General features: G+C 38.8%; 3 protein-coding genes and 1 pseudogene across 15 annotated transcripts in view, besides 4 other annotated features; 3 read left to right on the top strand and 1 right to left on the bottom strand.

Moving 5' to 3' along the window:
• Positions 1–14,646, top strand: part of CEBPZ (CCAAT enhancer binding protein zeta) — a 29,985-nt gene extending 15,339 nt beyond the window's left edge. The window contains exons 8-16 of the mRNA NM_005760.3: positions 50–118; positions 1,306–1,372; positions 2,297–2,394; positions 3,866–3,923; positions 4,219–4,415; positions 5,176–5,259; positions 13,250–13,308; positions 13,393–13,474; positions 14,355–14,646. Coding sequence (NP_005751.2) covers positions 50–118; positions 1,306–1,372; positions 2,297–2,394; positions 3,866–3,923; positions 4,219–4,415; positions 5,176–5,259; positions 13,250–13,308; positions 13,393–13,474; positions 14,355–14,494 — 854 coding nt within the window. The 3' untranslated portion in view covers positions 14,495–14,646. The remainder of the gene's footprint in view (positions 1–49; positions 119–1,305; positions 1,373–2,296; positions 2,395–3,865; positions 3,924–4,218; positions 4,416–5,175; positions 5,260–13,249; positions 13,309–13,392; positions 13,475–14,354) is intronic.
• On the bottom strand, positions 65–19,762 carry CEBPZOS (CEBPZ opposite strand). 13 transcript variants are annotated; one of them, NR_136316.2, is made up of 8 exons: positions 19,738–19,762; positions 16,439–16,554; positions 15,166–15,210; positions 14,532–14,616; positions 10,010–10,206; positions 2,704–2,821; positions 740–937; positions 65–145 (listed from the first exon to the last, which is right to left on the bottom strand). NR_136316.2 is itself a non-coding variant. In XM_017003106.2 (7 exons), exons 4-6 carry the CDS (start codon positions 16,551–16,553, stop codon positions 14,534–14,536), a joined length of 243 nt encoding a protein of 80 aa, XP_016858595.1. In that variant the 5' UTR covers position 16,554; positions 17,586–17,764; positions 18,908–19,004; positions 19,614–19,762; the 3' UTR covers positions 13,602–14,395; positions 14,532–14,533. The 13 variants fall into 13 exon arrangements, 7 of the variants coding, with proteins under 7 accessions (XP_016858597.1, NP_001309302.1, NP_001309303.1 ...); XR_007068208.1 differs by having other exon boundaries at positions 65–937; XR_007068209.1 differs by lacking the exon at positions 10,010–10,206.
• Positions 339–1,538: an enhancer, noted in NCBI's record as "MED14-independent group 3 enhancer chr2:37441863-37443062 (GRCh37/hg19 assembly coordinates)". NCBI's record gives its function as "activates an origin of replication core promoter dependent on BRD2, BRD4, P300/CBP and CDK7 cofactors, and independent of MED14, by STARR-seq in HCT116 cells {active_cell/tissue: HCT116}" and the evidence as "EXISTENCE:reporter gene assay evidence [ECO:0000049][PMID:35650434]".
• Positions 10,048–10,852: an enhancer, noted in NCBI's record as "OCT4-NANOG-H3K27ac-H3K4me1 hESC enhancer chr2:37432549-37433353 (GRCh37/hg19 assembly coordinates)". NCBI's record gives its function as "activates a minimal SCP1, AML or CMV promoter by ChIP-STARR-seq in naive and primed H9 embryonic stem cells {active_cell/tissue: H9 hESC(naive and primed)}" and the evidence as "EXISTENCE:reporter gene assay evidence [ECO:0000049][PMID:30033119]".
• Positions 10,853–11,656: an enhancer, noted in NCBI's record as "OCT4-NANOG-H3K27ac-H3K4me1 hESC enhancer chr2:37431745-37432548 (GRCh37/hg19 assembly coordinates)". NCBI's record gives its function as "activates a minimal SCP1, AML or CMV promoter by ChIP-STARR-seq in naive and primed H9 embryonic stem cells {active_cell/tissue: H9 hESC(naive and primed)}" and the evidence as "EXISTENCE:reporter gene assay evidence [ECO:0000049][PMID:30033119]".
• Positions 19,789–19,928: a silencer, noted in NCBI's record as "silent region_11355". NCBI's record gives its function as "represses an Ori minimal core promoter by ATAC-STARR-seq in GM12878 lymphoblastoid cells {active_cell/tissue: GM12878}" and the evidence as "EXISTENCE:reporter gene assay evidence [ECO:0000049][PMID:35858748]".
• The window catches only part of SULT6B1 (sulfotransferase family 6B member 1), a 28,268-nt gene continuing 26,052 nt past the window's right edge, over positions 20,171–22,386 (top strand). The window contains exon 1 of the mRNA NM_001032377.2: positions 20,171–20,230. The gene's annotated coding sequence lies outside the window, so the exon portion shown is untranslated. The remainder of the gene's footprint in view (positions 20,231–22,386) is intronic.
• Positions 21,499–21,864, top strand: RPL31P16 (ribosomal protein L31 pseudogene 16; annotated as a pseudogene).

Below are 22,386 nucleotides of genomic sequence, written 5' to 3'. Positions count from 1 at the left end.
GAGCTTATAACTAGGTTTTGCATTATACTGTCATAATTTTACATTTCAGAAAACACAGATAGTGTTGTGATGCAGCCGAAAAGAAAACATTTTATTAAGGATATTCGTCATCTTCCTGGTAAGTATAAACCTTAGACAGTTGAAACTGAAAAGACAATATAAGACAAAGATGCATAAATTGTATTATTCTTTGTTCTAATTTATCAGAATAAAACCTGAGCATCAAAGACATTATCCATCTTTTTTCCCAAGAATAGGTATTCTTAAATCTACTGTATCTGACTGGGCCTTTTTTTTTTTTTTTTTAACTTTATTACAGCAAATTTGAAACATATCCAAAATAAACAAAATAGTATGATGAACCCCCTCCCCATTACCATCACCCAGCTTTGACAGTTGTCACCATTTTATCATCCGTAGCTTCATCCACAACCCCTATGTATATAATTATTATTGCTTACAATTCAGACCATCTTAAAGCTCTCTAATATCAGCTTAGCAGCACAAAAACCCACAGCTGGTTTTGTCACAGAGCATCATTTTAAACTTAATAACCTACTTCTATATTTGCTAGCCATCTTCTGGATCTGAGTCTGTTGTTGTATTCAAAGCAGACATTTCTTTGCATACCAGATCTCATCTCCCTTTTGTTCAGAGACCAGGATTAAATTAGACCTTATAGATCATTTAATTTCCAGTGACTTACTTCACAGAGGTCCAGAGATGTAAAAGGACTTACCCACAGTTAGTAAGTTAGAATTAAAAGCCAAATCTCCTTTTACTCAGGATGAGTCAGCAATTTTTATTCTGAAGAGGTAAAACTGATTTCTTGTAGTTCCTTATTTCTTAGTTTTCCTCAGTATAAAGGAAAACTCTGTTAACTTCCTGTTTATTCCCAGAATGGCACGCATTAATGGCAAGCTTGTCATTTTTTGAGCTGAAAATGACAAGTTTAAAGTGATTATTTATTAAAATAACTCTTTGAATTTTTTATTTCTCTTGAAAGTTGGGTCCTGGATGCAAATGAAGAACAGTAAGAGAACCCTGTTGTTTCACTGTAACGGCACTGACAGCTATGTACTGCCTACTTTATGCTGTAGCCAGTGAAGTTTCAAATGTTGGGGGGGTCTTCACACAGACTTTTTCAGAGATTGTCCCTTGCACTCCAGAGTCCCTTCTGTCTACCTTCCCACACAATTCTGAGATTTTTAGAATTACAGATTATGCTGTATTTTGTCTTAAGAGCTTGAGTAACATAAAGGGGATTGCTATATGAAGTTAAAATGTTTAAATTTATTTTTGTAGTGAACAGTAAGGAGTTCCTTGCAAAAGAAGAAAGCCAAATACCAGTGGATGAAGTGTTTTTCCACAGGTACTATACATAATATAGTTTCATTTGGGGAAACTGCTAAAATTTAAATTTTTAGATTTCATAAAATGCTTCATTTTATGAAATAATCTACTTCAATAATCTACTACTGTGTGTAAATAGACCATGGAACATTAGTGGGAGAAGTGGCCTTAGTTTTAAATGCTTCATTTTATGAAATCTAATCAGCATATTTTGAAAAGATCAAAGGATATGTCTGTGTTTGTTAAGAAAATTTACAAATCCGTCATTTTGCTAATCTTAATATATCTTAGTAAAACTAAAGTAAATTTGGGAGTTTTGTTAATTTAGCATATAAATTTTGTTTTATGCTTCTTTTTGGAATTTAGCCTTTAATTTCCTTTTATAATAATTTTCTTTATAGGCTTAAAATCTACCTTTAATATAGATTTTAATATAATACTTTAAGTTTAATATAGTGATAACTCATGGGTAATTTATCCAGACCATGGCCCTTAGAATGGATTCAGTGCACTGTTATAGAAATAAGTCCTAAACCAACTAGTATCATAACCTAATGCCTTAGGGTAGTAAAGTACCTCTTATCTCATCTGGTTGACTGGTTAATTAGGTTTGATTTGGCTTGTTTTTTAAAATCATTTAGAATGAATAATTTTGAGGGTTTGATTACATCTGTAAATGGCTAAGTTTTGCTGTATTCTAATATAAGAATAGGGCTGATAAAATATTATCTTTGAAATGTATTACACTTAAAAGATTCCAGCTACTTTTTATTGAGTTAAACTATTTTTTGTATATTAGATACAAATTTCAGTCATTTATTTCCAATTGAGTATACTTAAGATTTTACAGTTGTGGTTTGCCACTGGTCATAGGTGCTTTGATGATATATAGTAAGATTAGACCTTTAATAAAATTGTCAAATATATAACATGAATATTATAGGTATTATAAAAAAGTTGCTGTTAAAGAGAAACAAAAACGGGATGCAGATGAAGAAAGTATAGAAGACGTGGATGATGAAGAATTTGAAGAGCTGATTGGTAATTTGTTTTGTTGACTCTTTGTAAAATAATCTACTACTATGTGTTAATAGACCATGGAACATTAGTGGGAGAAGTGGCCTTAGTTTTAAAAAATCACTTAGCTAAGAATATCATGCAAATCACAGTGGAAGATTAAGAAATATTTGGGGCCAGGCGCTGTGGCTCACACCTGTAATCCCAGCACTTTGGCAGGCCGAGGCAGGAAGATTGTTTGAGGTCAGGAGTTCGAGACCAGCCTGGCCAATATGGTGAAACCCTGTCTCTACTAAAAACCCCAAAAAATGAGCTGGGCATGGTGGCACGCACCTGTAGTCCCAGCTACTCGAGAAGCAGAGGCACGAGAATCGCTTGAATCCAGGAGTCAGAGGTTGCCGTGAGCCAAGATTACGGCACTGCACTCTAGCCTGGGTGACAGAGTGAAATCCTGTCTCAAAAAAAAAACAAAAGAAACAAATATTTTTATGATATATGGTAATTCACCCACATTTGCACCAGAAAAATACATGATTTGTGCTTTGGATAGTCTATATAAGAAAACATTTATATTTGCTTAAGTCTATTCAATTGTTACAGCCAAATCTCATGTGAAAAAGAAATCCTTTTTACTATTCATAATCTATTATAGTATATCAGTACTAATTGATAGCAATAGTCTACTGTTTGATCTTTTTTATCTTTAATCCACAGAGCTACAGAAATTTTGATTGAAACTTAATAGACTTAAACAAAAAACATGGTAAATTGGAAAGACTTACACTGATTTCACGTTACATATTTTTTTGTTGTTGTTTTTTGGGGGGTTTGTTTGTTTGTTTTGAGACAGGCTCTCTCTGTCTCCCAGGCTGGAGTGCAGTGGCACAATCCCAACTCACTGCAGCCCTGCAGCCTAGACCTTCTGGGCTCAGGCGATTTTCCTGCCTCAGCCCCACGGGTAGCTGGGACTACAGGTACATGCCATGATGTCCGGCTCGTTTTTTTTTTGTTTTTTTTTTTGTTGTTGTTGTTTTTGTTTTTTTTTTTTTTTTAATAGAGATAGGGTCTTGCCGTGTTGCCCAGGCTGATGATCACTCCACCTCGGCCTCCCAAAGTGCTGGAATTACAAGCATGAGATGTTACATATTGTATCACACCTATTAAAAATGAGCACTTAAGTAGTTCTAATAGAGTAAAAAGGACGACAATTGCTAAATATCATTTTATTTGATATTTATCCTCTTTCCATAAAAGAACTGTAGAAAGAGCCGAAATTAACTGGATCCTTCTTTAGTTTTGGGATTTAACTAAGATCAGTATTTCACAGGTTTGTATACATTATTAAGGCACACTAGCAACAGTAACATTTACATTGTTTTGGTGTTCACTTGTCATAAACAGCAGAATCATGACTTAGAATAATTGATTCAGATACAAGATATATGTCAAGCTTGTCATTCTTTGTTGTATCTCACATTTCTGTATTGTCTGGCAGACACATTTGAAGATGATAACTGTTTCAGCTCTGGAAAGGATGATATGGATTTTGCTGGGTAACATACTTCTATCTTCTCCTTCCTATTTTTCTAGCATTTCCCAAATTGTTGTCCCTCAGAACAGTAGACCACAGAACTATATGATAAAGGGGAAATGTAGTCAAGTAAGTTTGGGAAGTGGATACAGTACTTTCATCTTTGACATTTATAAAGCACGTTATTATTTACTCTGAGCAGTCTGCAAAGCTTTCTCCTTCTGAGTCATTTAATAGCCTACTGCCCTAGTAGTCAGCAAAACACTACTTTAGAAAATACTGCCTCCTCTTGTATTACAAGTTGTGTTTTTTTCCAGAAACGTGAAAAAGAGAACAAAAGGAGCTAAGGATAACACATTAGATGAAGATTCAGAAGGTAGTGATGATGAACTTGGTAACCTGGATGACGATGAAGTTTCTTTAGGAAGTATGGATGATGAAGAATTTGCTGAAGTTGATGAAGATGGAGGAACATTCATGGATGTGTTAGATGATGAAAGTGAGAGCGTTCCAGGTAAGCATTTTTTAAAATAAGACATAAACTGTGTCTTCCTCACTTCCTTAGCCTTAAGTTTGTTTTTCTGCTAAAGGTTTTTAATATAGCCCTGTATTCAAATTAATACTCATGTCAGCCAGAAACTTAAAAGGACCTTTTCCCTTCTCGTTTGGAGCTGAAGGGTTTTTATTGTGTGTTATGTGTGTTTTCTTTTAAGCAGCTTTTTGAGCTTTGGACTTTTACTTTAACCAGCAGCTAGCTTCTCTGTACAATACATGTTGAGCTGAAATGCTGCCATTTTTTGATAGTAATTAGCAGTTTATAAAAGTTAATCAGTATTCATCATAGCCCAGCATAGATGAAGGTGAATATTTTATCTTGTAAATTAGCAAGGAACACCCAGAATTGTCTCTAGACTGTTGTCTGACCTTTCTGTCCTTTCACATACCTCCAGCATGCACATGCCTGCCCAACATTCTTCTTACTTATTCTGAACCACAGCAGAAGTTTCTTGTTTTAAGGGGTTTTATATTATTTGGTCTTATTAATGAAGCTATTTAGAAAATTTTGTACTTGCACAAAATATTAGAACTGTGCCAATTCTTAGAGTCTTTTTCTCAGTCTGTCCTCAAGCCTATGCTAGTGGAATTACAAAACCCACATGGAATAGCAGTATAGTGCCTTACCATCAGAATAAAGATTTTAGCATATCTTGGAGTAATATTTTCCAGTCTTATTGTTTTTAAATTGCTTATTAGCAAATTTTTTCGTGTAACAGAACTTGAAGTCCACTCCAAAGTCAGTACTAAGAAAAGCAAGAGAAAAGGTACAGATGATTTTGACTTTGCTGGCTCATTTCAAGGTAAGAAAATACATTTAATATCTTTTAAAAGCAGTGTCCATGTGAAAGGTGTCATTATCATTTTGGGAAATGAACTCTCCTAAATTTGATTAATAAAATTCAGGGGTGGGGGGGGTTCTTTTTAAGAAAGATGTTAAGTGGAAATTATTTTCCACATTTTGAATTGTTTCTCGCATTCAGATATCTCTGGATCATCTTTTCATTCACTTTTTAAAAATTTGTTATCATTATTTCAGTTGTTTTTGGGGAACAGGTAGGGTGTTTGGTTACATAGGTAAGTTCTTTAGTAGTGATTTCTGAGATTTTGGTGCACCCATCACTCAAGCAGTACACTGCACCCAATGTGTACTCTTATCCCCCACTGCCTCCCACTCTTCCCCCCAAGTCCCCAGAGTCCATTATATCATTCTTAAGCCTTTGCATCCTCATTGCTTAGCTCCCATTTATAACTGAGAACATAGAATGTTTGGTTTTCCATTCCTGAATTACTTCGCTTAGAATAATGGTCTCCAGCTGTATTCAGGTTGCTGCGAATGCCATTATTTCTCTCCTTTTTATGGATGAGTAGCATTCCATGGTATATGTATACCACATTTTCTTTATCCACTCATTAGTTGATGGGCATTTAGGTTGGTTCCATATTTTTGCAATTGCAGATTGTGCTACTATAAATCTGTGTGTTTGTCTTTTTTATATAATGACTTATTTTCCTCTGGGTAGTACCCAGTGGTGGGATTGCTAGATCAAATGATAGTTCTACTTTCAGTTCTTTAAGGACTCTCCATACTGTTTACCATAGTGGTTGTACTAGTTTACATTCCCACCAGCAATGTAGAAGTGTTCCCTTATTACCACATCCATGCCAACATCTGAAATTTTTTTTATTTTTAAATTACGGCCATTCTTGCAGGAGTAAGGTGGTATTGCACTGTGGCTTTGATTTGCATTTCCCTGATAATCAGGGATGTTGAGCATTTCTTCATATGTTTCTTGACCATTTGTATATCTTTTGAGAATTGTCTGTTCATATCCTTAACACACTTTTTGATGGGATTGTTTTTTTCTTGCTGACTTTTTTGAGTTCCTTATAGATTCTGGACATTAGTCCTTTCTCAGATGCATAGTTTACGAAGATTTTCTCCCACTCTATGGGTTGTCTATTTACTCTGCTGATTATTTATTTTGCTATGCAGACGCTTTTTAGCTTAATTAAGTCCCATCTATTTGTTTTTGTTGCATTTGCATTTAGGTTCTTGGTCATGAACTCTACTTAAGCCAATGTCTAGAAGAGTTTTTCCAATGTTATATTCTAGAATTTTTACAGTTTCAGGTCTTATCTTTAAGTCTTCGATCCATCTTGAGTTTTCTGCATAAGGTGAGAAATGAGGATCCAGTTTAATTCTCCTACATGTGGCTTGCCAGTTATCCCAGCACCAATGGTTCAATAGGGTGTCCTTTCCCCACTTTGTTTTTGTTTACTTTGTCAAAGATCAGATGGTTGTAAGTATTTGGCTTTATTTCTGGGTTCTCTATTCTGTTCCATTGGTCTACGTGCCTGTTTTTGTACAAGTACCATGCTATTTTGGTAACAATAGCCTAGTAGTATAGTTTGAAGTCAGGTAATGAGATGCCTCTAGATTTGTTCTTTTTGTTTAGTCTTGCTTGGCTATGCAGGCTCTTATTTTGTTCCATATGAATTTCAGGATTTTTTTTCCTAGTTCTGTGAAGAATGATGATGGCATTTTGATGGGAATTACATTAAATTTATAGATTGCTTTTGGCAGTATGGTCATTTTCACAATATCGATTCTACCCATCCATGAACATGGGATGCGTTTCCATTTGTGTGTGTCTGTGGTTTCTTTCAGCAGTGTTTTGTAGTTTTCCTTTTAGAGATCTTTCACCTCCTTGATTAGGTGTATTCCTAAGTATTATTATTTTTTTTTTTTTTGGCAGGTGTTGTAAGGGGGGTAGAGTAATTGATTTGATTCTCAGCTTGGTTGCTGTTGGTGTATAGCAATGCTACTGGTTTGCGCACATTGATTTTGTATCCTGAAACTTTGCTGGATTTATTTATCAGATCTAGGATCTTTTTGGATGAGTCTTTAGGGTTTTCTAGGTATGCTATCATATCATCGGTGAATAGTGACAGTTTGACTTCCTCTTTACTGATTTGAATGCCCTTTCTTTCTCTTGTCCAGTTGCACTGGCTAGGATTTCCAGTACTATGTTGAATAGAAGTGGTGAAAGTGGGCATCCTTGTCTTGTTCCAGTTCTCAGGGGGAATGCTTTCAACTTTTCCCTGTTCAGTATAATGTTGGCTATGGGTTTATCATAGATGGCTTTCATTACTTTTAAGGTACGTCCCTTGTATGCCAGTTTTGCTGAGGGTTTAAATCATAAAGGATGCTTGATTTTGTCAAATGCTTTTTCTGCGTCTATTGAGATGATCATATGATTTTTGTTTTTAATTGTTTATGTGGTATATCATATTTATTGACTTGCGTATGTTAAACCAGCCCTATATCCCTGGCAAGAAACCCACTTGATCATGGTGTATTATCTTTTTGATATGCTGTTGGAGTTGGTTAGCTAGTATTTTGTTGAGGGTTTTTGCATCTGTGTGCATGAGGAATATTGGTCTCTAGTTTTCTTTTGTTATGTCATTTCCTGATTTTGGAATTAGGGCGATATTGGCTTCATTGAATGATTTAGGGAGGATTCCCTCTTTCCCTATCTTTTGGAATAGTTTCAGTAGGATTGGTACCAGTTCTTTGAATGTCTGATAGAATTCAGCTGTGAATCCATCTGGTCCTGGACTTTGTTTTGTTGGCAGTTTTTTTATTACTGTTTCAGTCGTGCTACTTGTTATTGGTCTGTTCAGAGTTTCCATTTCTTTCTGGTTTAATCTAGAAGGGTTGTATATTTCCAGGAATTTATCCATTTTTCTCTAGGTTTTCTAGTTTTTGTGCATAAAGGTGTTCATAGTAGCCTTGAATGATCTTTTGTATTTCTGTGGTATCGGTTGTAGTATCTCCCATTTCGTCTCTAATTGAGCTTATTCAGATCTTCTCTCTTCTTTTTTTGGTTAATCTTGCTAATGGTCTACCGATTTTCTTTATTTTTCCACAGAACCAGCTTTTTGTTTCATTTATCTTTTGTAGTGTTTGCTTCAGTTTTATTTAGTTCTGCTCTGATATTTGTTATTTCTTTTCTTCTGCTGGGTTTGAGTTTGATTTGTTCTTGTTTCTCTAGTTCCTTGAGGTGTGAGCTTAGATTGTCTGTTTATGCTCTTTCAGACTTTTTGATGTAGACATTTAATGCTGTGAACTTACTAAATGTAGTGCCGCTTTTGCTGTATCCCAGAGGTTTTGATGGGTTGTGTCACTATTGTTCAGTTCAAAAAATTTTAATTTCCATCTTGATTTCATTGTTGACACAAAGATCATTCAAGAGCAGATTATTAAATTTCCATGTATTTGTATATAGTTTTGAGGGTTCCTTTTGGAGTTAATTTCCAATTGTATTCCACTGTGGTGTGAGAGGGTACTTGATACAATTTCAGTTTTCTTAAGTTTATTGAGACTTGTTTTGTGGCCTACCATATGGTCTATCCTTGAGAATGCTCCGTGTGCTGGTGAAAATAATGTATATTCTGCAGTTTTTGGGTAGAATGTTCCGTAGGTATCTGTTAAGTCCATTTGTTCTAAGGTATAGTTTAAGTCCATTGTTTCTTTGTTGACTTTCTGTCTTGATGACCCGTCTAGGGCTGTCAGTGGAGTATTGAAGTCACCCACTATTATTGTGTTGCCATCTGTCTAATTTCTTAGGTCTAGTAGTAATGGTTTTATAAATTTGGAAGCTCTGGTGGTAGGTGCATATATATTTTGGATTATGACATTTCTTGTTGGACTAATCATTTTACTAGTATGTAATGTCCCTCTTTGTCTTTTTTAACTGTTGTTGCTTTAAAGTCTGTTTTGTCTGATATAAGAATAGCTAGTCCTGCTTGCTTTTGGTTTCCATTTGCATGGAATATCTTTTCCCACCCCTTTACCTTAAGTTTATGTGAGTCCTTATGTGTTACGTGAGTCTCCTGAACACAGCAGATTCTTGGTTGGTGGTCCAAATGTATCTTTTAAGAGGAGCATTTAGGCCATTTACATCCAACGTAGTATTTGAGATGTGAGGTACTATTCTATTCATCATGCTAGTTGTTGCTTGAATACTTTGATTTTGTTGTTTTTTCATTGTGTTATTGTATAGGCCCTGTAAGATTTAGGTTTTAAGAAGGCTCTATTTTGGTGTACTTCAAGGTTTTGTTTCAAGATTTAGAATTCCTAGGCTGAGTGTAGTGGCTCACACCTGTAATCCCAGCACTTCGGGAGGCCCAGGCGGGCATCACCTGAAGTCAGGAGTTCAAGACCAGCCTGGCCAACATGGCAAAACCCTATCTCTACAAAAAATACAAAAATTAGCTGGGCATGTTGGTAAGCCCCTATAATCCCAGCTACTGAGGAGGCTGAGGTACAAAAATCACTTGAACCCATTAGGCAGAGGTCGCAGTGAGCCAAGATCACACCACTGCCTTCCCGCCTGGGCGACAGAGCAAGATTCCATCTCAAAAAAAGAAACAAAAAACAAAGATTTAGAACTCCTTTCAGCATTTCTTATAGTGCTGGCTTGGTAGTGGTGAATTCTCAGCATAGATATCTCTCCTTCATTTAGGAAGCTTAGTTTTGTTGGATACCTTTTAAGGAGACTAAACACGTTGCCACACGCTGTTCTGTCCATCCATGTGGGAGCTGCACGTTAGTCCTGTCCCCTTATCCGCCATTTTCCTCCTCAGCACAGCAGATCAACATGTTTGCCTCTTTGTTTTGTTCTCTCCAGGGCCCCAGCAGATTGGATGGTGCCCACTCACATTTGAATGCAGATCTTCCTTACCTAGTCCAGAGATTCACATGCTAATCTCTGCTCATTCATTTTTAAACCATTCAATTATAAAAGCCTTGCATTTTTCAGACACCTGTTATCTTTTTCTTTTCTCAACCATTATTTGCCATTTGACCCTTGCAATAATCCATGCTCCTTTATTATGATACGAACTCTTCTTTCTGCTAATTGTTTTTTAACATTTTTAAAAGTATTATCTTACAAGATTCTGCTTCACAGTGTAACACAAGGTGCTAATAAAAGAAAAAAGTGCTGTATCAGGTGACAGTCTTAAGATTTTTGATAAAAATGTAGAAAGCACTGTACATACTTTGCCTCCAGTGCCTCTCTGGCTTCTGCTTACTGCTAAATACTGATGACTAAAAATAGATCTGCAAAGTTAAATAATAATAATGTTTTAAAAAGTTTCATGCGCGTCTGTATGAAGAGACCACCAAACAGGCTTTGCATGAGCAACAAGGCTGCTTATTTCACCTGGGTGCAGGCGGGCTGAGTCCGAAAAGAGAGTCAGTGAAGGGAGATAGGGGTGGGGCCATTTTATAGGATTTGGGTAGAAAAAAGGAAAATTGCAGTCAAAGGGGGTTGTTCTCTGCCTGGCAGGAGTGGGGGTCACAAGGTGCTCAGTAGGGGAGCTTTTGAGCCAGGATGAGCCAGGAGAAGGAATTTCACAAGATAATGTCATCAGTTAAGGCAGGAACAGGCCATTTTCACTTCTTTTGTGGTGGAATGTCATCAGTTAAGGCAGGAACCGACCATCTGGATGTGTGCGTGCAGGTCACAGGGGATATGATGGCTTAGCTTGGGCTCAGAGGCCTGACAAAAAGTTTCATTTACATATTGGTAGTAGTCTTTCAGAGCCTCACGCCTACAAAATTTTATCAGCTCTTTCAAATACTGCTGTCAATTTCTTAGTCCTGTAATAACTATGATTTAACTGATACATATTTAAATTATAACACGTTATCTTCCAGATTTTGTCTTCCCTTGAGTATCTAAGATCATGTTTTAGTATTAGCATAAGATGAGATATAGGCAGTTTTTCTCAAAAGCATCCCACAGAAAAGTGTTGCTTTACTTCAAGTTCTACTGAGCCTTTTATTAAAAGATGCTGGTAAAAGGAATTTGAGGAGAAGAAAAAAATTTTTTAATGTTAAAAAAGATGCTCTGAGCTTGTTTCAAATAGTAAAGTACTGTTTCAGAAGACATTAGCCTGAAAGGATTTCAGATCTCAATTGATAATAGTTTTGGATGCAGATTAAAGAATACCCAACAGAATTGACTGAAACAAAAAGAGGCAAGGAATTTTAAACAGATTTATTAATTGATTCAGATTTATTAATTTACTAATTGATCACCCTACATTTACAGGTGTTAGAGTAGATATCCTTAAGAATAAACATACCTTATAGAAACTTTAATCAGCCTGGGCAACACAATGAGACCCCATCTCTACAAAAAATCAAAAATGGCTGGGCGCAGTGGCTCACGCCTGTAATCCCAGCACTTTGGGAGGCCAAGGCAGGTAGATCACAAGGTCAAGAGATCAAGACCATCCTGGCCAACATGATGAAACCCCATCTCTACTAAAAATACAAAAATTAGCTTGGCGTGGTGGCATGCACTTGTAGGCCCAGCTACTTGGGAGGCTGAGGCAGGAGAATCGCTTGAACCCAGAAGGCAGAGGTTGCAGTGAGCCGAGATCACGCCCCTGTACTCCAGCCTGGCGACAAAGCGAGACTCTGTCTCAAAAAAAAAAAAAAAAAAATCAAAAATTAGCCAGGCATGGTGTTACATACTTGAGGCTGAGGTTGGGGGTGGGGGCGGGATAAAAGAAACTTTAAGAAACCAGTACAGTACAGAAGTGCCTACTCGTTGAGGTCACAGATACATCACTACAGGATGAATAAAACCCAAAAAAAACTTCCTAATGCATGCAAATGTGTATTATACAGCTGTTAAGTAACATACATATCACCTTAATAAAAATCAAGATGAAATGTTTTAGAAACTATTTTATCAAAAGTGGCTCTGATACAAAGACTTGTACATGATTGTTCACAGCAGCACTATTAATGCCAAAAAGTAGACAAAACCTAAATGTCCATTAACTGATAAGCAAAATGTGGTATATCCATACAATGGAATATTATGTAGCCCACAACATGGCATGGAGTACTACAACATGGATGAGCCTCAAAAACGTTATGCTAAATGAAAAAAGTCAGATATAGGAAACCACATGTCATATGATCCCATTTATATGAAATAGCCAGAAAAGGCAAGTCATAGAAACAAGATAGATCGGAGATGGGTTGGAGGACTACAAATGGCACCAGGGATCTTTGAAGTTGATGGAAATGTTCTAAAATCAGACTGTGGTTGTGGTTGAACAAGTCTGTAAATTTACCAAAATGCGTTAATACACTTAAAACAGCTGAATGTTATGATCTGTATTTAGTAAAGCTCTTTTTAAAATATGGCTCTACTACTGCTAGAGACATTGATATCAAAGATGCAGAGTTTGAATAATTGTTTCAGGAAAAGTTTATATATTCAGTACTACAGATAAGTTTTTTTTTTAAAGGAGAACCTTTTTCGCTGTTATAAACAACTTCATTTATAGCATAATAAACATACTTTCAGTCAATTTCTTTACAATCTAAAGACCCCTGAACTAAATTTTATGTTGTGTCTTAAGTATTTCAAAACCCATCCATGTCAAACTGATAATTTTACTATTGCTTGATACTATGTTATTTCCCTTATGGGTAAAACTTCGATCAGTGGCCAAATCTGAAAAGCAAGAAGACACTCTTGTCATCTGAACAGTTCTATTAGGATGTTGTTAGCTTTTTGAAAATATTATATACTAACTCTTAAATTATATTTAAATGCCAGCTACCCAATGGTGCCAGAAGATTATTGCAATTGTTTTTACCCAAGTATAATTTTTAAAATAAAATCATGTTGCATTGCATTTTTCTAAAATCATTAGATTTATAATTGAATAATGTAGACTTACAATTTTTTTTAGGGCCAAGAAAAAAGAAAAGAAACTTAAATGATTCCAGCCTATTTGTATCTGCTGAAGAGGTAAGGCTAATGTACTGTTTTAACAAGCTAGCTATTCTACATTATTTTTAGTTTTCTAATAAATTTATCGTTTTTGTTTAAAAGTTTGGCCATCTATTGGATGAAAATATGGGATCCAAGTTTGATAACATTGGCATGAATGCCATGGCTAACAAAGATAATGCAAGTAAGTAACTTAAATTTTTTTATTGATGTTTTAAAAATAGCTTTGGCTTGGAACTTCAGAAGATAGGAAATTTTCGTTATTTTATTTATTCTTTTTTTTTTTTTTTTTTTTTTTTTTTTTTTTTTTTTTTTTTTTTTTTGAGACAGCGTCTCACTCCCTTGCCCAGGTTGGAATGCAGTGGCATGATCTTGGCTCACTGCAACCTCCATCTCCCATGTTCAAGTAATTCTCCTACCTTAGCCTCCCAAGTAGCTGGGATTACAGGCATGCACCACCACGCCCAGCTAATTTTTGTATTTTTAGTAGAAACAGGGTTTCACCATGTTGGCCAGGCTGGTCTCGAACTCCTGACCTCAAGTGACCCGCCTGCCTCGGCCTCCCAAAGTGCTGAGATTACTGGTGTGAGCCACCATGCCTGGCTGATAGGAATATTTTTGAAAGACCTTTTCATGGTACTTTACAACCTGAAAGGAATGGCTTTTTCTTCTCTCAGGAGAACATGTAAGATTAACAAGTATTTAGACTAAAGCAAAAAAAAAAAAAACCTTGCAGACTACAAAAATTACTTTTTTTTAGGGAAGTGGGCCGTTTTTACATATTGATTGTTACTGGTTTTTATTTCACCAGTAAAAGTGCTTGGGGAGAGAAAATCTTTAGAGCATTTGTTTCTTTTCCTTCCTTAGTCATTTCTTTTTGAAACATTTATCTTTGACAATAAATATGAGAAGAAAAGCAACAAACAAGCAGTGGGTTTGTATAGTGGGTGGGAAACCACAGGCCAAGGCAGGCTAGAAGTTCCTGTGACTCAGCAGCATGTTCTGTGGGACCACCAAGAGTCTACAGTGTGGTAGTACACTCATCTTTTCTTCTTCTCTCAAAGGTCTCAAACAGCTTAGATGGGAGGCTGAACGTGATGACTGGCTACACAACAGAGATGCAAAAAGTATCATCAAGAAAAAGAAACATTTTAAAAAGAAGAGGATTAAAACCACTCAAAAAACTAAAAAACAAAGGAAATGAGTTATTAATGTAAATTATAGATTAAAATTCTACTTACATCTAATTTTTGCTGTTCAACCATGTTTTTTGATCTAGCTCTCTGATTCCATACATTCCAGACTTCTCAGTGGATTTGTAATAAACTATAAATAAAAATAGCTCTCATTTATAAAGTCATGTGGAAGCATTGTTAAAATTAAATGTATTGAAAAAAACAACTTCTTTTTTCCATATTGCTACATAACAAAATGAAAAAGAGGACAGTAGGATTACAGACTTCACATATAAGTCCTGGCATCTCTGATCATTGTAATGAGCACTATTTCGTCTAACTACATGATGTCATCTTGTTCAGTCTTTATCTACTTGACAGAGAAAGAGACAGCTCCAAGAAGTTAGCAAACCTGAGATGAAACTGATCTTTTAAAACCAAAGGTTTAAACTGTGGTTTGATTCTATCACCTCATATATGAATGATTCCAGAGTTTACATTCTTAACCACTAGAAGAATTCAGAATCCAGCCCATTACCTAATTCTCCTCTCACTAGAATAGATGAGAATTTAGTCTCAGAAGAACTAAAATACATGTGAATAGTATTGTTAGAAATTCCTTGTAAAGAAATTACTACATAATTTATAGGTTACCTGAAGAAGTTGTTTTATACTTATTTTTACTTAAGGAAAAACATACCTTCCAAGATGAAGGGATATTTCTTGCTCATTGTTTGCCTGAAATCTGATGGAAAAAAGGATGTCTTGAAATTAGATATGAACAGAAATTCATTATATTAACACAGCCACAATTTAATGCTAGCTTTAGGGTCCATATGATGGGAACCATATAGATTAGAAATTTGTTTGAAGGTCTTTCTGGTAATCCAGGAACGATCTCCTTTTGTTTTTTTGAGTCAGGATCTCTCTCCCTGTTGCCCAGGCTGCAGTACAGTGGCACAGTCACAATCCACCACTGCCTAGACCCCCCTGGGCTGGGCTCAAGCGAGCCTCCTACGTCAGCCAAGGTCAAGTAGCTGGGATGGGGCTCAGGGGAGCCTCCTACCTCAACCTCCCGAGTAGCTGGGACTACAGGAGCACACCATCATGCCCAGCACTTTTTTTTTTTTTCTTAAGATACAGTGTCTTGTTATGTTTAGCCCAGACTGAGCTCAAGCAGTCCTTCCACCTTGGCCTCCCGAAGTGCTGGAATTACAAGTGCAAGCCATCACACCCAGCCATGACACTTTTTAAAACTGATCCCAAGCTTTAATTTGTTTTTAAATACTGTTGGGATGTTTTTTTAATACCCTTCCTTAGAGTTTAAAAGAAAAGGGATTTTTTGAGTATCCAGTAGCATCTTGGTACAGCGTTCCAACCAAGTATGCTGAGGAAGACTGTGGCAAGTTTCAAAGATGGCTATCATGCCAGGTCTATTCCCTGTTTTAGGGAAAAATCACTTCCTAATTTAAAAAGTTGAGAGCTCTAATATAAAATTTCCCCAAGAAAAATGTTAAAGCACTTTCGGCCATAGCATGTGAAAGTCTTAGTGCCCACTGTTGATGCCCAGGAAGAATACTATAGCCTGAGAAAACTGGTTACTCAGAAAACAGCAATACCAGTTACTTTCTTAGTCTACCAAACAATGAAGTATAATGGGCAGGCTAAGTTTCCTCCATCTGTGCTCCCAAACTAAGCCAGACCAAGGACACTTGCTATATCCTCCACAATAGTAAAATCCATGGAGGTATGAAATTTTTTCCTTAGCCCACAAACAACATTTTTAAGGGAGAAGTGAGAGTGATCTAGTCCACAATAATGAATACTTTGATTCCTGTTCTGCCCCTAAAAATGTCTAATATCTTGAATCTGAAGAACCAATTTCTCCAAACATGCCATTGCCATTTAACACATAAAATGGATTAGCAAAACTATACCCCTTTAGAAAGCATTAACTTCTGAATTATGATTACCTTGGCTTGTGTGCATCTTGCTAAACAAAAAATATGCTCCAAAAACGCCTACAAGTTCGGCTACCAAAACTCCTTTAAAGATCTTCTTTGCTAGTGGTTCCAAAGTACGGGCCATCCTAAATTTAACAACAGATATGTGTAAACCTGAATGAACATACTTAAACTACTATTATCATTTCTCTAATAACTCAAATTCATTCCCACAGTTTGAATGGCTTCTCTGTATGGGAGTAAGACCAATACTATGGTATACTTTTTTGGTTTAGACATCCTATCTACCTAGTTTTCAAACTCCATGCCTGAGGGGCATGATGAACCAAAGACAAAATTGGATAAAGCACAGGAAAGAGAGAAAATGCAAGAAAGCGTTGTAAAAAGAACAATTTACGGAACTAAAATTATTTAATTGTGTAGGAAAACAGAATGGGGAAGATAATTTTTTAGCTGCACTGGGAGTTAAGAAATAATCTAAATGGATACAATATATAAACAGCTCTTTGTAAAGTGCCGTACAAAAGTAAGATCTTTCTCAAGTGGTTCTACACTTTCTAAAGGGCTGGAGTTCTTCATTTATTAATACAACATACACTATTACATATACTATATATTATAGATAGTATAGATATCCTATATACTGATACATACTAATAATACAACATATACTAAACTATTAATACAACATATACTAAACTGTGCCATAGTTCAGGCATTTGGAGTGCAGTGGCACAATCTCAGCTCACTGGGCTCAAACAATCCTCCCACCTCAGCCTCCCGAGCAGCTGGGACCACTGGCATGCCTGGCTATTTTTTTGTATTTTTTGTATTTTTAGTAGACACAGGGTCTCACCATGTTGCCCAGATTGGTCTCGAACCCGTGAGCTCAAGCAATCCGCCCACCTCAGCCTCCCAAAGTGCTGGGATTACAGGCATGAGCCAGTAATCTGCCCTTTCGCAGACACGCAGTAATTTTTATACAAATGGGGGCAGGGGATGGAAACTGATTGGGTGATGAACCAGTTAAGTGGCAAAACTACAGACCGGTTAGATCTTGATTGTCTTCCTTTAAAAGCTAATCAGGAAAAAGCGTTTGTGTCATTATTCTTTTTCAAATTAAAGATAAGCTAAGAAAATAGAATATAAGACTTACTGAAGACATTAATGTAAACCCAAGTTTTTAGTCAGCCTCCTTATAACCTCAAAGTCCAGAAGAGGAGAACCACTTGTTTTTCAGATTTTTCTATTGTCCTGTGTGTGCTCTTTTGTTCTCAATCCCAGCTCGCTGCTGTCAGGTGTTTACTCCATTCACTTCCGACCCCTTTTCAATGCCTGAGGGTGGGTGTAATCAAATAACCTTCCTTTTGTAGGATTATTCTGCTGATATCTTACCAGGTGGCCCTCCCCACCACCCCCCAAATTCCCTCATTTTAATAATGTGATCACCCTGGGGACCAAAAGATTAAAACTTTATTATTCTTATTTAAAAGAAATGAAGCAAAGAAATTTACAAAGTAATTCATATATAACTAAGAGGCAGTTGAGTGGTGGGAAGGGACAGTTGTTTTGCTCCATTCACTACAATGCTGTACATGACTGACAGAAAGTAAGTCATGCTCAGTACAGATGCCTCTCTTGGGGTTATTTTTTTTTTATTTTATTTTTGGAGACACGGTCTCGCTCTGTCGCCCAGGCTGGAGTGCAGTGGCGCGATCTTGGCTCACTGTAACCTCCGCCTGCCGGATTCAAGCAATTCTCTTGCCTCAGCCTCCCCAGTAGCTGGGAGCTGGGACTCCCGCCACCAGGCCCAGCAAATTTTTTGTATTTTAGTAGAGACGGATTTCACCCTGTTGCCCAGGGTGGTCCCCAACTCCTGAGCTCAGGCAATCCACAGGCCTCGGCCTCCCAAAGTGCTAGGATTACAGGCGTGGGCCACCGCGCCTGGCCTATTTTTATTTTTTTGAGACTGGGTCTTGCTGTCTCCCAGGCAGGAGTGCAGTGGTGCGATCCTGGCTCACTGCAACCTCCGTCTCCCGGGTTCAAGTGATTCTCCTGCCTCAGCCTCCCGAGTAGCTGGGATTATAGGCGTGTGCCACCACGTCTGGCTAATTTTTTGTATGTTTAGTAGAGATGAGGTTTCACCATGTTGGCCAGGCTAACTTCCGACCTCAAGTGATCCTCCCGCCTCGGCCTCCCAAAGTGCTGGTATTACAGGCGTGTGCCGCCACGCCCGGCCTCTTGGGGTTATTTTTAATGTTCAAGGAATGAACAAAGACCGCCTGCAGCCAGTTCCATTATTCAAGGAATCGAAGTAAAATTTTGTTTTAAGAGAGGGTGGTGCTAAGAAATAAAGTCCATCTGTAGGCCAGGGTTAAAAGAAAAGAAAATAAAGTGCGAATAATACTGTACGGCTGCCTTGGTGTATAGTGGTGAGCATAGCTGCCTCCAAATAACACCGTACAACAAAGTATTTACCTTTTTAAAAATACATATACGTTTTGCACTGAGGCTCTCGGCTTCAGGAGGCTGATAAAACTTCAAGTTCCTTTGCTACAGACCACCAGGGATACACCTGTCCACCCACAAAGAAGTGAGGTTTACTAGCTGCGGCAAGGGAGACACGGCAGACCAGCGCCTGCCTTCTCGGCACAGGGAAAGGCATCATTCCGGGAAGTTTAGGTGAAGTTTAACACGAAGCCGCCTCTGACAGATTCGGCGCAGGGCTGTGTGTCATGCAGTTAACATCACACGGGGCTGAGACGCTGACTCGGGGACACAAGCTCAAGCCAAATGTGCAATGCTGGGTCGGAAGCCCCTTATCCCGGGATGCGCTCCAGGGAATCGGGGCGGCCTCCCAGCTTAGCGTCTGCAGGCTACGCGGTTTCAAGCAGCAACGTCTCTCCCAGCCTAGCTGTGCAGAGGACGACTTTTCAACAGAGGCCGAGAGCTGGCCGCCTCCGCTCCCCCGGCTCCCGGCTCCTGCCGCGGTCCCACCCAGCTCCCGCTTCCCCCGGTTCCCTGGTGCCCTCGGCTGCCCTCAGCTCTCCCCTAGCCCGCGGAACGCTAGGCCCGGGCCTGCAGGCGACACGCGCGGGCACGCACGGAGCACGGCCCGGCCGCCAGACCACGGCCGCCTAGCGACCCGGAAACACTCGCCTCCAGTGAATTAAGGCAGTGACACCTGACTATCCTCCACATGCCCCCAGAACTGTGACGAGGCCCCACGCAGAAGACCGCCCCACTCTCGTCGCACTAGGGACCCCGAAATCCGACCGCCCATGGGAAGCCACTCGCCAGAGTCTTACCTGAGGTGCGTTCAAGGGGGACTGCGCATGCGCAACGGTTGGCGACGCTCCACCCCTTCCGTTGTCGGCTCCGCCCCCACATTCGTAATTACTATTAATTGTACTCTGACCGCGACCCGAACCTGACTGCCCTCTATGTACATTATTTTACGGAATGTTCGCAATAACACATGCAACAGGTGCTGAGTGTATCTCATTTTACGGAGAAAGCAAGAGGCTTACACTGCCCACAATCGCAGTTAGTAAAATCAGAATTCACATTTAAACCCAGGAAACTGACTACGTGTAGCCTGTTCTGGGTCGTTTTTCTAACACCCTGAAACTTAAAGTGTGATAGTCTCAGAGGACTACCAACATAAGCATCACCTGAAAACTTGTTAGAAATGAAGAACTAGGCCGGGCGCGGTGGCTCACGCCTATAATCCCAGCACTTTGGGAGGCCTAGATGGGAGGATCACGACATCAGGAGACCGAGACCATCCTGGCTAACACGGTGAGACCCCGTCTCTACTAAAAATACGTTTAAAAAAAAATAGCTGGTCGTAGTGGCATGCGCCTGTAGTCCCAGCTACCGGGGAGGCTGAGGCAGGAGAATCGCTTGAACCCGGGAGGCGGAGGTTGCAGTGAGCTGAGATCGCACCACTGCACTCCAGCCTGGGCGACAGAGTGAGACTTTGTCTCAAAAAAAAAAAAATGCAGAACTACTGAATCTGAAACTGCATTTTAGCCAGATCCCTAAAGAATTCGTTTGCAAAGTAACACTTGAGAAAGCGCGAAGGGGACATGGAAACAGAGAAGAGAAAAAGAATATAAAAGTATATTGAAGTACCGTGTGCAAGACAAAGCCTGGAACACCCAAAACAGGCACAGATCTACCTTCATCGAAGTTCTAGTCTAGTTAGGGGTATTTACCACAAATAACTGATGGAAAGTACACAATGATAAGGGCCTTGCTTCTAATCCGAGGAATCTGTAAAGGTTTTAGAGAAGGGGTGATAGCTGGAGCTAACTCTGTCCACGCCAAGTAAAGGAAGTGCCTCTGCAAGGTGCTCTGTGATTGCCCCAATTTTCCTAACACCCGCCCCACCCCTAGTCCAGCCCATGTGGTTCATCTGTGTAACTAAAGCATCATAAATTGTGAAAAACATATGAATTTAGGGAGAACAAAAACTTTCAGACCATATAGCAAGGCTCCACTACATTGGTTTGAAATACCAGAATATCAGTGTTAAAAGTACCAGGATGACAAAGCAAGATGAAAAAGCTATTGGGGCTTGGTGCGGTGGCTCACACCTGTAATCCCAGCACTTTGGGAGGCCAAGGTGGGCAGATAACCTGAGGTCAGGAGTTCAAGACCAGCCTAGCCAACAAGGAGAAACCCCATCTCTACTAAAAATATGAAAATTAGCTGGGTGAGGTGGAGCATGCCTGTAATCCCAGCTATTCGGAAATCTAAGGCAGGAGAGTTGCTTGAACCCAGGAGGCAGAGGTTAAAGTGAGCCAAGATCGTGCCACTGCACTCCAGCCTGGGCGACAGAGTAAGACTGTGTCTCAAAAATGGAAGGAAGGAAGGAAGGAAGGAAGGAAGGAAGGAAGGAAGGAAGGAAGGAAGGAAGGAAGGAAAGAAGGAAGGAAGGAAGGGAGGGAGGGAGGGAGGGAGGGAGGGAGGAAGGAAGGAGAAAGAAGAAAAGGTCATTGGAATGGTTCAGATTGAAAAAAAGAAAAGAGGAGAAAAAAAGCTTAAAGAAATGATAACAAGCTTTACCAACTTGGGCCTAGCAGAATGGCTCCTGCAAAGAACAGTGGCAAGAAGAAAATGGACCATTCTGCCATCAACGAGGTGATGACCCAAGAATACACCAACATTCACAAGCACATCCACAGAGTGGGCTTCAAGAAGCATGTCCCTCAGGCACTCAAAGAGATCCGGAAATTTTGCAATGAAGGAGATGGGAACTCCAGATGTGTGCATTGATACCAGGCTCAATAAAGTTGTCTTTGCCAAAGGAATAAGGAATGTCCCGTACCGTATCCGCGTGCAGCTGTCCAGAGGATGTAATGAGGATGAAGATTCACCAAATAAGCTCTGTACTTTGATTACCTATGTACCTGTTACCACTTTCAAAAATCTACAGATAGTCAGCCAGGCACGGTGGCTCATGCCTGTAACCCCAGCACTTTGGGAGGCCAAGATGGGCAGATCACTTGAGGTCAGGAGTTCAAGACCAGCTTGGCCAATATGGTGAAACCCTGTCTCTACTAAAAATACAAAAAATTAGTCAAGATCTCACTGCACTCCACCCTAGGTGACAGAAAAAGGCTTTGTCTCGAAAAAAAAAAAATCTACAGACAGTCAATGTGGATGAGAACTAACCACTGAATCTTCAACTACATCAAATATAACTATATAAATATAAAATTTCTTTCACGAAAAAACAGAAATTATAAGAAAGACTAAAATAATTGTATAGAAATGTCATGATTTCTGCAGGAAAATATATATAAACTAATAACGATATTGCACAAAGCTTGACATTTTGAGATAAGACACATTTTGGCCAGAAGGTTTGGAGCAGGAAAAGTGTAGACTCCAGTAGAAACTTTTACCAAGGGTCCTTTAGCGACAGTGCCTTCCTGGTCCTAGCCTGA

This window comes from Homo sapiens, chromosome 2 (genome assembly GCF_000001405.40).
Source record: "Homo sapiens chromosome 2, GRCh38.p14 Primary Assembly".
NCBI classification, from domain to species: Eukaryota; Metazoa; Chordata; class Mammalia; order Primates; family Hominidae; genus Homo; species Homo sapiens.
This window is presented reverse-complemented; position numbering and strand designations above follow the sequence as displayed.